The following is a 13,912-nucleotide window of genomic DNA, read 5'->3' as shown; positions in this document are numbered from 1 at the left end:
GAAAAACTGGAAACAACCTAAAGGGTGAAGATAGAGGGTTGATAATGCAGTTGTCAAATGATGTAGCCATTGCAAACACTGAAGCAGATGCATTTATTCACGTGGAACTAAAAAGTAAGCAGGCTGTGCTGGGTAGGAAGAACAGTGGAAGAACAAGGAAGTTCTGGGGTGTGAAGGAGGCTGGAGGAATGCGGTCTCGATAAGCAGACAACAAGCAAATAAAGGGGAGGCTAGCGTTTACAGGGAGGCTGACTCATGCCCAGGCATTCTCGTTTTAAACTCATCTTCCTGCTAGTCACAACTTGGCTAATGAGTCTTGCTAACAAAAGTACTGAACTCCCCCATCACTAATTGGCCTCTTCCACTCTCTAAGGTCCCAGTTTCTTTCAGACTAAGGACCAAAAAGAAAGTGAATCTCTTTCTGTGCATCCCTTCCCTCTGGCCTTATTAGCAGAGACACAGAAGACAGTCAGGAAATTCCCAGTCTTCCCTCAGCACCTAGGCTGCATTATCCTGAACTCTCATTTGGGAGCTAATTAGGGGATTCTGTTTGTGGAACTTGTAAGCACTTAACTCCCCAATCCTAGCCCTGGCTGTCTCTGTGGGAACCTTTCTTTGAAGACTTGCTGGATAGATATCTCCCGAGACCCTGTTGAACTGGGGAAGTTAGCAAAGTTTATCAGTGAGTTGCTGCTTAACTAAAACGCCAAAATAAACTGAAGTGGTGTGGATCCCAAGAGATTAATCATGCTGTCTCCCAGTGTGGAGAGAGCGGGGGGACACTGTGGCTTCTACAGGCCTGAATTCTTCACTAGTTCATTCATGGAAAGTGAGGGCTAGTGTGGTACAAAGGGCATAGCACTGGCCGGGAGGGGTAGAGTTTTGGGCCTGGGGAGATAAATTCCTACTCTGGCTTTTGTTAGAGAGAGGGCACAACTCTCGAAATAGGGTAACTCCTTCAACTCAAAACCCAATGAAATTTTAACATGTTCTACACTATACTTGTTGACTCAGTAATTCTGTACCTCAATTCATTTAGTCCCCAAAATAATCATATGAAGTTCATGGTATGATTCCCATTCCTATTTTATGGATGGGAAAACTGGGGCCCACAGGGAGGAAATGATCTACCCTGTGTCACACAGCTAGCAAGGAGCAGTGTTAGCCCAGAGCCCCGGCCTCCCAACTTCTCACTCCAATGCTATGTTCACTTGACCAAAGTTAACTTAATGCAACAAGGTGCGTGAGCTTCCCAGCTTGCTGCCTGCCACACAGAAGATGCTGGATTTGTATTTATTTGTCCTTATATTCTGGCCTGGACAACTACCTGTAAATACCAAATAAAGGTAACCCTTTCAGATCCCTGATATCTTTACCCTCCAAGATTTTACAACCATAGTCTAAAAGAGAGGTTAAATATTTTCTGGCTGATGTTTCAAGACTCTTTCCAAAGCTCACCTCTTTCTGTTTCACTTATTGCTACTTCTCAGGCCTTCACGTCTCTTCCTGGCTCACTGTTACCACCTCCAATTCTGGCATCTCTCCAGCTGCTGAAGCCCCAGAATGAACTTCTGCTCATCTGATCCACTGTATAAATAGTTTCTGGGTTTATGCACCGGTACTCAACCTTATTGCCTGTCCGTTTAATAGCTCATAGTCTCTTAATCCCTGCAGTCTTTGGCATCCTGTCTGGGCTTGAGTATTTACTATGTAGTAGGTGAGTGAAAAAAGCCTGAGATACTTGGAAGTGACTAATTTTGTAGATAAAGAATCAAAACTTGAACAGATCTGTAGGCTAAAAATAGCAGAGACTGAATTAAAACTTTGATCTCCATATATTCTGTTGAAGGTTCTCTTCATTCAACTGTACTGCCTTTTGCATTTCTGAAACTCATTGCACCCACAGTCATTATCACTCTGTTTAGTTTTGAATTCTTTGATGATTAACTGGATGCAGGGAAGGAGGCAAAGCTACTGGGCCTAACTCTATGGCCTCTGGCAAGTCACCGAATCTGTCATCTGTGAAGTGAGAATAATAAAAGCTGGCCTTCCTATTTTCTAATCCTGGTCCTGGTTGTCACTGTGGGTTACATTCAACTGTGCCACTGAAAAATTCAAATGAGAACACAGATTTTAAAATTGCTTTGTAAATATTGCTATGTGCTAATAAAATAATAAGATAAAATATACTACTGTTATAATTCTGCTGAGTCCTAGTAGAGCTTTTCTCTGGGCTGGACACAGATGGTAGGATGGATGTGGGAGAAGGAGGTATTGTTGGGATGTGTGTGAGATCATCTCCAAGTAGACATATGTAGATGCCCATGGTGTGTAAAATGACATCTGCTGAGCTTGACACATGGATCGTGGATGTACTCAACAGTTCACAGATGTGTTGAGAACTCACAATGTCTGAAACATGTTTCTTTGAATATGAGCTATCTCAGTTAGGATGGCTGGGCAAAAATTTTGCTAGAAGTTTCTTTTAGTGTCAGGAATCCATGGACTTATATCTGCAAAGATCATACATTCATCCCAACCAAGATTAGTCACCACCTTTGACTGGAATTTCATATAAAGATTCAAAACTGTGCAATAGGGAAGTGGGTGCTGGGGGGACAGGTTGTTGATGGTGGTGCAGGATGAGGGTTGGTGTGGAGTGGAGGGTGATATTTCAATCTTCAGGGACAGGAGATGGAAAGAGGTAAGAAGGTCCACCAGGGCTATTCTCTTAAGGATAAGAGCTGTTTGGTTTGATTCTTCACTTAGATGAAGAGAGATGGACAAGATGACTGCCTCTAAATCTTGATCAAGTGAACAAGGTGGGCTTGTGTTGGATAGATGGGACAACTCACTAGTTTCCTTAAAGGTGAGGATGACGGGACACTCTGAAGGCTGGAGAGAAAACACTATAGTAGACTCATCTTACTACTCATCTTACTACCGCCCCCCCCCCCATATTTTCACCAGTTAGCACTTTAAAAGTTTTATTTATTTAGTTAGTTATTGACAAGTGGGACCTAATTAAAGATCCGCATAGCAAAATAAACCATCAGCAGAATAAACAGACAACCTATGGATTGGGAGAAAATATTCACAAACTGTGCATCTGACAAAGGCCTAATATCCAGAACCTATAGGGAACTTCAACAAATCAACAAGCAAAAATCAAATAATCTCATTAAAAAATGGGCAAAGAACATGAACAGACGCTTCTCAAAAGAAGACATACAAGTGGCCGACAAACCCAGGAAAAAGTGCTCAGCATCACTAATCATCAGAGGAATGCAAATCAAAATCACAATGAGACACCACTTCATACCAGTCAGAATGGCTACTATTAAAAAGTCAACAAGCAACAGATGCTGGCAAGGCTGCAGAGAAAAGAGAACGCTTCTACGTTGTTGGTGGAAATGTAACTTTGTGCAGCCCCTGTGGAAAGCAGTCTGGAGATTTCTCAAAGAACTTAAAACAGAGCTATTATTTGACCCAGCAGTCCCATTACTGGATACATATCCAAAGGAGAGTAAATCATTCTACCACAAAGACACACGCACTTATATGTTTACTACTGAGCTATTCACAATAGCAAAGACATGGAATCAACCCAGGTACCCATCAGTGGTGAGCTGGATAAGGAAAATGTGGTACATATACACTATGGAATACTATGCAGCCATAAAAAGGAATGAAATAATGTCCTTTGCCACAACATGGATGCAGCTGGAGGTCATTCTCCTAAGCAAATTAATGCAGAAAGAGAAAATAAAATACCACGTTCTAATCATTAACAGCTAAGCATTGAGTACACATGGACATAAATATGAGAACAAGAGACACTGTGAACTACTAAAAAGAGGAGGGAGAAGGTGTGGATTAAAAAACTGCCTATCGGGTACTGTGTTCATGACCAAGGTGATGGAATCTGGACTCCAAATCTCAGCATCATGCAGTATTACCAAGTAACAAATCTGCACATACATCTCCTTATCTAAAGTAAAAGTGGAAATTTAAAAAATATATGTATTTAATTTTTTAAAATTACAGAACTCAGTGAAAAACTTTGAATAATACCAGAGTAAATGGAGTAAAAACCGAAAGTCATTCCCCATTTTCCACTGCCCTCCCCAGTCCTATTCCCTCCACAGAGGGAATCACCGTGTGCAGCTTACGGGTTTTCCTCCAGGATTTTCAGCCCATACACATGTTTACATCATCATCACTTTCTCAATTTAGTCATATGTGCTATACAACTTCTCATGTCAATACGTTCACTCTTCTTTTTAAACAAATATATGCTTTTTATTTAAATTATTTACATAAAACATGAATTATTTATATTTGCATAGCAGAGTTAAAAACTCTTTACTTTAGAAGATGAATTAAGGAAAGACAAACACTGACACAACTTGTGATCACTCATTTATTATTACACTTCTCTCTGTAATGCTTTCCCAAGTCTTTGGATATTATAGGATTTCCCAACCTATAGTGTTATGCTCAGATTTTGCTAATTAAATGCTCTGTTTATAATTTTTTGCAAGAAGGAGGTACTTCTTTGGTTTTAGTTTCAGGGTTTTTTTGTTTGAGGAGAAATGATATTGCATTTCATGCACAAAGTTAGGAAGCCTTTTCCCTGTTATGTCAAATTCAATGATTGTCTTTATTTCATCAGAAGAAAATTTATCTTTAAAAAATTTTCTCTTTATATCTTTATACTATCCTAATATTGGGACCTTGAGGATATTTTGAAAACATCTAGCAGTTTCACTGACTTCCTATGTGGAAGACAAATTTCTTATCATAAGTCATGCTTTCTGCTATCAAATAACCCACAAGATGGCTTGAACATCAGCTATCTACTCAGCACTCTGTTGTGTGTTTGGAAGACATAATATAAGACATGGATCCCGTCCTTAAGGAGATTATAACCTAGCTGGGAAGAATAAAAGAAGCTGGAGGAATACAGAGAAAATTATGATGCTGTCATGCTGTGTAGGCTACACTCTTTCAGAGGAGATTAAGAACACTGAATACAAACCAAGGGCTTCATGAGCCACCTAAGTGAGCACCCGTGGTTGAAAGATGAAGATTGAGTGGAGAAGCCAGGAAGGAATGATGGAAGACTTTGCCTACCTGAGAAAGGTCTAGATTTGATCAGAAAGACTTGGCAGCCTTTGGCAGATGAAATGACACTGAGCAGATATTGTTCCAGGGGATTAATGGGGCAGTGTAGACAGCACTGAGTTAGGGAGGAGCCCAGGGCTCAGAGACTGTTGGATGGCATGGGTCCCAGCTGGGAGGCAGCTGTCTGCCAGAGGACAATGGTGTAAGAGAGTCCAGCATAATGTTCAGTGGGACCCAACGGATGGCTGGATGTGGAGAATAACTGTGGATACCTCTGTGTGCTGAGATAATCTAAGGCCCCTTAAGGGTTCCCTGCTGCCCTCCTCAAATAATAAGCATGTCGGACAAGGTGAGTCTTCAACTTCCAACTTCTTGTCCAGGAAGTGCCTGAAGGATTTACAGAATAAGTTCTAGAAATGGCCACGATAGTGCACGAAATTGACTATGATTCTATTATTTCTCTCTGGATTGCCGTAATTTCACTCTGTTGTTAAAATCTCAGGTTCCAGTACTTACTCATTGATAAATTGCAAATGATATTCCCCTCTAGTTTCCCCTTCTTATCAGTCTCCTCACCTTTACTAATTATCTGTACGTATGAATTAAACAGAATGTCCAACATAAATCAGTGTATTTTGCCATTGAAAGTAAAACTTATGGCCAGGTGCAGTGACTCACACCTGTAATCTCAGCACTTTGGGAGACTGAGGCGGGTGGATCACATGAGGTCAGGACTTCAAGACCAGCCTGGCCAATATGGTAAAACCCCGTCTCCAGTAAAAATACAAAAATTAGCCGGACGTGGTGGCAGGCACCTGTAATCCCAGCTATCGGGAGGCTAAGGCAGGGGAATCACTTGAACCCAGGAGGCAGAGGCTGCAGTGAGCCAAGATCGTGCCGCTGCACTCCAGCCTGGGCGACCGAGCGAAACTCCATCTCATAAATAAATAAATCTATCTTACTAGTTATTAATGCTTCTTCTCAGGGAACATACAGTGATACATTCTTATGTTTCTGGTCAGGGGGCGGGGGCAGGTTGTGAGAATAGGCTCATGCACTGCCATGTACCTGTGTTGTCCCTACTAATAAGTAGTCAGAAAGGGGCTGCAGTTTTGGGAACAGGTGTTTGATGATGTTGCTCTGAAGAAGGTGCTTGCAGGGTGCTCTGACAAGTACCAACACTCTGCTCCTAGTGTATGTCAAGCCCAAATTTAACTTTACAATACTAGACCTATTTCTTAAAGTAGAGCCTTTTAAAAATCACACCCAACACTCGAATACAAATATAGTTTTGCTAAAAAGGAGGCCAGACATTTCATTTTTATTAACATTTTATATATGTTTCAATTGAACAATCATTAAATTAAAAAAATACAAAATAGTTTGTCTCCCGCTACCTGACCCACATCATATTTTTCTCTTGTCTTCAATTCACTTTGTATCAGTAACTTAGATACTCTCTCACCTAAGCTTTTGCCTTTCTCCTCAATCCAAGGCAGACCACACTCTACCCTGACCAAGACTATCTACTTTCCTCCCATTTTATGACCCGACGCTGAGGATTTTTCCTGCCCATACCTAGTCCTTCAGCATAAGAAAGTCGGGGGGTTGCTCGAGGAGGGAGGTTGCATTTTGAACCCCATCTTCTCAAGCTGGGGGCCTCTTCCCTGTCAGCACCCTTTTCAGGGTGCCCTGCACATCAGGGTTCTGGAGGCTGTAAATGACTGGGTTCAGCATGGGACTGAGGATAGTGTTGAGGATCCCAATCCCCTTATCTTTGTCTGAGGCTGAGACTGAGCCCAGACACATGTAACTGAAGAAGCCAGTTCCATAAAAGATTCAGACCACAGTGAGGTGGGAGCCACATGTGGAGAAAGCCTTCTTCCTCCCCTCAGCTGAGCGGATTTGTAATATTGCAGCTGTGACGTGGGCATAGGACACTGAGATAAAGATCATGGGGATCACTCCTATGAAGGTGGCCCCCACAAGCAGCAGCTGCCCATTGAGGTGGATGCTGGAGCAAGAGAGCTGGAAAAGAGGTGGGAGGTCACAGTAGAAGTGGTTGACCACATTAGGGCCACAGAAGTCAAGCGCAGACACAGCCACTGTGTGAGTCAGAGCATTGATGAAGGAGACAGTGCAGCAAATTCCCACCAGGGCACCCTGGACTTCACAGCTCATGCGAGTGCTGTTGGTGAGAAGCTGACAGATAGCCAGGTAGCGGTCATAGGCCATGGCTATTAAGAGGTGACAGTCCACCCCAGCCAGGAGGTGGGGAAAGAAGAGCTGTGAACTGCAGGCAGCATAGGGAACTCTGCACTGGTGGGCCTGGAGACACGCCAGCATCGGAGGAACAGTGACTGATGCACCCGACGTCCAGCAGAGATGTCCAGTAGATGAGTGGGTTCAGCATGGGGCTGATGACAGTGTTGAGGATGCCAATGCCCTTGTCCTTGTCCGAAGACTCCACTGAACCCAGCCTTGTGTAGCTGAAGACGCCCGTCCCATAGAAGATGCCCACCACAGTGAGGTGGGAACTACACGTGGAGAAGGCTTTCTTTCTGCCCTCTGCAGAGCGGATTCGCAGGACTGCAGCTGCCACATGGGCATAGGACACAGTGATGAGGACCAAGGGGGCCACACCCATGAAAGCTGCTGCTACAAACAGCAACTGCCCATTGAGATGAACACTGGAGCAGGAGAGCTGGAAGGGCTGTGGGAGGTCACAGTAGAAGTGATTGATCACATTGGGGCCACAGAAGTTAAGAGGAGACAGGGCAACAGTTTGGGTCAGTGCATTGGTGAAGGAAAAGACACATGACATGCCCACCAGGGCTTGCTGGATTCCCCAGCTCATGCGGCTGCTGTAGGTGAGGGACTGGCAGATGGCCAGATAGCGGTCATAGGCCATGATGGTCAGCAAGAAGCAGTCTGCCCCAGCCAGGAGGTGGAAGAAGAAGAGCTCGGAGAGGCAGGCCTTATAGGGAATGCTTCTGTCGTTGGATATGAAATGGCTCAGCATGGCAGGGACAGTGACACTGACACACCCCACATCTGGCAGGGACAAGTTCCCCAGGAAGAAGTACATGGGGCTGTGGAGTTTGGTTTCCATAAGGATGGCCGCCAGGATGCTGAGGGTGCCTCCAATGGTAGTGACGTAAGCAAGAAGGAAGATGACAAAGAGGATGGGCTGTAGAGCTGCAGTCTCTGTGAGGCCCAGCAGGACAAACTTGGTCACAACTGAATCATTCCCTGAGTTCCCCAGATCCATGGCTGTCTTCCACTAGCAGTGGACTGAGCAGTGTTAGATGGGGCCGGTGGTGGCAGAAGCAGGATGAGGTGTTGATAACAATCATCAATGAGATCTTGATAGCAATGTCCAGGACAGGGCCGGGATGGAAGAACGCATGAAATGTAAGGGGAAGGAAGTTGAAGATTTAGATGTAGTATGAAAAGACTTGATATCTGACTCTTAATGGGTAACAAGAGTGGCATTGGACAGACTCAAACAGAGATCCATGAATTGATGTAGAAAGGGGAACAAATGTTACATTAGAAAGGTAAAGGGAAAAATTATTTTCCTGAGGCCAAAGTTCTGGGAGGAAACCCCAAGTCTACAGATGGTGGCATGGCCATAGTTGAGGTACACAAGATCCCAGAGGATGAAAGGGAAGCTTCGGGGAAGCAGGAAAGCATGCTCCCCACAACCTGTGTCCCTGCACCCCCCGCATACACGTGCTGTCATACACCATGGCAGTAGTGAGATGCCTGTCGTGGCCCAGACTATTAAAAGATTAACATGCGAGGCCATGAGATTTGGTCCGGACATTTCAGAAAAAAAGCGAAATGAGATGAAAAACAGTGAAACTAAACGAGGAAACATCACCGAGGACATTTCCAGCTCCATAGCTGGTGACTACCAGCCTTTTAGATTTTCCAAGTAGTAATATTACATTGCATTTCTCCGTATAGAGTCTGGGAAATTTGGGCTCAAAAGTACTGACCGTTTACCAAATATGAAGAATGTAAAAAGGGCTTTTGAGTAGGGTGAGTCTCCAGGCTTAGGCTCCCAGGTGGGTTTGGTGGATACCAAGTAACGCTGTTTCATTGAATATACAGGTGAACTCTCACACAAATAGAGTCTTAGGTAAGCAGATACCCACACCCTGAATTCCCCATGCCTCCAACTCCACCATCACTGAGCTTTTCACTCTTCTGTCTCCTGGTTCTAATTACGCATCATCCAACACACATGCTATTTATCTGATCACCAGATAGGGCCAAAGTCTTTTACAGTGCCATGAACTGCCCACATATATGATCACTTAGGTAATGCTTTTCTTTTCCCAGCCCTAATCACTGCTAATAAAATACTCGGCCGGGCGTGGTGACTCACACCTGTAATCCTAGCACTTTGGGAGGCCGCGGTGGGTGGATCACCTGAGGTCAGGAGTTCGAGACCAGCCTAGCCAATATGGTGAAACCCCGTCTCTACTAAAAATACAAAAATTAGCTGGGTGTGGTTGCAGGTGCCTGTAATCCCAGCTACTCGGGAGGCTGGGGCAGAAGAATTGCTTGAACCTGGGAGGTGGAGGTTGCAGTGAGCTGAGACAGCGCCACTGTACTCTAGCCTGGGTGACAGAGCGAGACTCAGTCTCAAAAAATAAAATAAAATACTCAGTGATCCACCTCAACCTCTGGCTGAGGGATAGATATTTAAGTCTCTCACATGGAGGCTAACTCATCCAGGGAAGGGGTGGAGTTGGAGACCACTAGGGGGCAAAAGGCATGAGCAGAGGAAGATATTTCCCAATGATTAAATGTGGAGAATGCCGTCCTCAGGTCTCCAGAGGGTCAATTACCATCTAATAGTATGGCCTTTTCTGCATGGACATGCTCTTACCATTACCTCAAACTCAGTCTCTCCAAATCAGAACCGTCCTTCTTCAATCTCAATCTGCTTTGGACTAAGTATTTTGGTAGCAGCATTGCCATCCTCCCCGTGAGTAGCGCTTGAAAGCTTAGTCATTACTGATTCTTCCCTCTCTCTAACCCTGCACATTGAAGCACCCAAATCCCACTGGATCTTTTTGGGTGGAGTGAGAAGCTGTTTCAGAGCCCAGAGGGTGAACTTCATTTGTATGGAGACCAAGCTGTGAGAGTACAGTGAGGAGTCTTGAGATGAGACTCACCCGGCCAAAGAGATGGGCAAAGAGGAGGAGGGACAGTCCCGCCGGCCCAGCAGCCTCTGCAGAGGGGATGGCTTATAAAGGACAGACAGACAAAGGGACAAGCAACTCCGCTGACATCATTTTCACACTGGGATTTTTCTCCTCCTCATTGTTCCCCTGGAGGCCTCAGAAATTAGCACCTTCCAGGGGGAGCCAGAACCAGGTAAAGACACCTGCCTTTGCCAAAGACATAATGACCTCAAATATTTTTAAAATGTTATGGACTTGTCAAAATGTTTCCAAGTACAGCCTTCTTCAATATGGCAAAATTCATTCATTTATTTAACAAAAATATTTTTGAGCACTGGTGAAACGGCACTCTTGTAATCAACATTTTATAGAGTTAAAATGAACATCTCAAAGACTTAAAATCCTGAAAGTCACCTTGTGTTGGGGACGGTGTTGAGATTTTGGGTTTCTGATTTAATCCAGCCCATCATCTTGGGTGGGGACAGGAGAGGAGAGGAGCAGTGACTTGTGACTTTCTCACCTGGCCTGCAGCATGGGGCTGGGAGGAGGCCAGAGCCTAGGTCAGGATTTCCTCCTGTTTCATCCCTGGATCAGTGTTCTTGCCATCATCTCACAAGGTCACCTCCCATCACAGCTCACGTGAGCCATCCTCAAGCCCGGCTTCTCTTCTAGTCTCAGTCAAGCGCTTTGCCTTTTTCTGGGCTCCCACAGTGTAATCTAGAACCTGTAGCATCCTGGCTCAAAATGTTTTCTAGTCTCATGCCTCCAACACCACAAAGGAAGATAAAGGGTTAGAGGACTTTTAGAACAGGACCATCTACTTTCACTAACATCTAATGGTGGCTTCAGACATCAACTGCAATTTTAATTCCTTGTTCATTAATTAAGCATTCTCACTGACTCTCATTAACAGGTTTGGAAGAAGCTCTTTGCAGGATCACTTGAGGAAACTCATAGTGGCTTAAGCCTGTCATGGGCCAAGGAGGAGTTGTCAGAGAATTAGGATGGATTGGGATTTCTGTTGACAGCTGTCCTTGTAAGAGGCTAAGTTGCAGAGCTCAAATAGAACCCATTATTTCTGCTTTCTCCTGACATACCGGAGGCTGTGTCGTCTCCTTTTCTGACACAATGTTAAGGAAGGGAACTTCCTCCTTGAAGACTCATTGCAGGTCTCCTCCTTTCCAGAAACTGCCTATGAGTCCCTGGGGCCAGGCTAGGAGGCCTTCCTCTGTCTTCCCATAGCAATCCAAAGGCAGTACATGCAGGCGATCCTCAGTTTTTATCTCCCTCCCAGACACTAAGTTGTTGACCCTAATGCCTGTGTGTTGGATATTTCTACCTGAACATCCCACAGGAACCCAAGATGTACAAAACCTTTTGTACAAAATGCGCACACACACAAGCACGCGTGCGTGTGTAAATCCAGTTGAACCACATGCCTTGTTGTGGAAAAACTTGGAAGTATAAGAGTGACACTCACTTATGTTTGACTCTATAAACCCAATTTTTGTTCTTAGTCTTTCTCTTACACTAACAATGTCTTTTGAAGTTATTAGTGGTTTTTGTTTTCTATTTGATTTTAAGTGGTTCTTAGTCTTTCTCTTACACTAACAATGTCTTTTGAAGATATTAGTGGTTTTTGTTTTCTATTTGATTTTAAGTGGAGAAAATAAAAGGGGTTACGGTTTTTTTTTTTTTTTTGAAGAGTAGTAGAGCACAGTGATCCCCTGCACTCTCCCTATTCCACATGGAGAGGGGCTAAGGTTGAGCGTCACTAGACTACACACACTATGGCAAGCTTTTCAGTAGAAAGGGACCCCACCCCCCACAAACACTCTATATATTTGTAGGAATTGGAAGGGGGAGTGGGAGCATCTAGGTAACTGCATTACATCTGGTGCCTCCTGGATGAGGAAGTAACCTCATCAAAATGGGGGTGGCTGGATGCGGTGGCTTGTGCCTCTAATCCCAACAGTTTGGGAGGCTGGAGTGGGGGGATTGCTTGAGGCCAGGCGTTCTAGATCAGGGGCAACATAATGAAACCCTGTCTCTACAAAAAAAATTAGCTGACTGTGGTGGCACAAACATGTAGTCCCAGCTACTTGGGAGGCTAAGGTAGGAGGATTGCTTGAGGCCAGGAGTTTGAGGCTGCGTTGAGCTATGATGGCGCCATAGAATTTCGGCCTGGGTAACAGAGCAAGGCCTGTCTCTAAAAAAACAGGCAAACAAACAACAACCAAAAAAGGCAGAGCCTCCAGTGGAGCTCAGCCACTGTTGGCTTGTTCTTCCACTGAGCTGCTGAACCACCTTCTTGAGTATCCAGAGCTGCTTGTTCCGCACACCAAATGCTCCTCTTCACCTTGCTTAACAGAGATAGGATCCTGCCACTCATTATTTGGCATCTATTAATTGAGCACAGTACTATTTTTCAGGTAATATGCTAGTAAAGAGGTGACCAAATACAGACATGCTCCCTCCCTACATGGAGCTTATCAGCTCATAAAGAAGGAAGGCACGAACCAAATAATTACCACCTAATCACTATTCCTATGCACGTGTCCACACACGTCTAATCATTTGTGGTTTACAAAAGGTATGATATTTAATAGAATTTTATTACAAAAGGTATGATATTTAATAGAATTTTATTTTCAACTTTCTTTTACTGTCTTTATATTTGAGCTTCGTGTAATATATTATTCTTCAAAATTTTATGATTTTCTAATATGCTACCATTTGCATGTGCTAACATTCACTTAACCATTGCATACTTAGTTTTCAATTTTTTGCCATTATGAATAATAATACAACAAAGTATTTGCATCTCTGATTTTTGTCCTATGTCATGAGTAATCTCTACCTCCCTAATTTGTGCAAGGATCTCGTCTCTTCCATTGATACTCTACATTCCCAAGACTAGATTCCTTGTTACCTCATGACAAAAGTAAAAATTACTCAGTTATATTTTATATAAGGGGCAGGGAAACATGTAGTCTTCATATCCCCTGCTTATATTCTTCATATTCCTTGCCTATATCTTTGTTTCAAGGGGAGTTTTGATTGGCTTCAAGGCCTGGTGGATTGGTGGTTAACAGAGGTATTTTAACTCTGTCAACTGTGAAGGAAAAAAACGAAGACATACCTCTCCACCCCTCTAGACGCAGACATCAGTACATGTCCCCCTAAATACTTAAGCATGCATATCATAACACAACTTCAATATGTTTATGTCTGTTGTTTATGCAAACTTAATATGCAGTGAAACACAGAAATGTGAAGTGCACACTTACTGAGTTTTGACAAATGCATACACTTACCAAAATACAGAACATTGCCAGCACCCAAAAATGTTACCCCGTACCTTTCTCCAGTTAAAAAATGACTACTCAAAAACAATTATTGTTCTGATTTTTTCAACATAGATTAATTCTACCTATTCTAAAACTTTATATAAGTGGAATCGTACAGTGCATATGCCTTTATGTAAGGCTTCCTTTACTCAACATAATGGATTTTATAGTCATTCATGTTGTAGCATGTATCAATAGTTTATTTTTTATTGCTGAAGTATTCCATCGTATGAA

At 43.5% G+C, this 13,912-nt stretch overlaps 1 protein-coding gene and 2 pseudogenes across 3 annotated transcripts in view; 1 reads left to right on the top strand and 2 right to left on the bottom strand.

Annotated features, from left to right (window-relative positions):
* Nucleotides 1-13,912, top strand: part of OR3A2 (olfactory receptor family 3 subfamily A member 2) — a 110,196-nt gene that overhangs the window by 67,600 nt on the left and 28,684 nt on the right. The gene's annotated exons all lie outside the window — the stretch shown is intronic.
* Nucleotides 6,817-7,509, bottom strand: OR3A5P (olfactory receptor family 3 subfamily A member 5 pseudogene; annotated as a pseudogene).
* On the bottom strand, nt 7,263-8,464 carry OR3A4P (olfactory receptor family 3 subfamily A member 4 pseudogene; annotated as a pseudogene). Its single transcript, NR_024128.1, has one exon. The product of NR_024128.1 is annotated as an olfactory receptor family 3 subfamily A member 4 pseudogene (transcript).

Source organism: Homo sapiens, chromosome 17, assembly GCF_000001405.40.
Source record: "Homo sapiens chromosome 17, GRCh38.p14 Primary Assembly".
Classification (NCBI taxonomy): domain Eukaryota; kingdom Metazoa; phylum Chordata; class Mammalia; order Primates; family Hominidae; genus Homo; species Homo sapiens.
The sequence above is the reverse complement of the archived record's forward strand: the minus strand, read 5'-3'. Positions and strand labels throughout refer to the sequence as shown.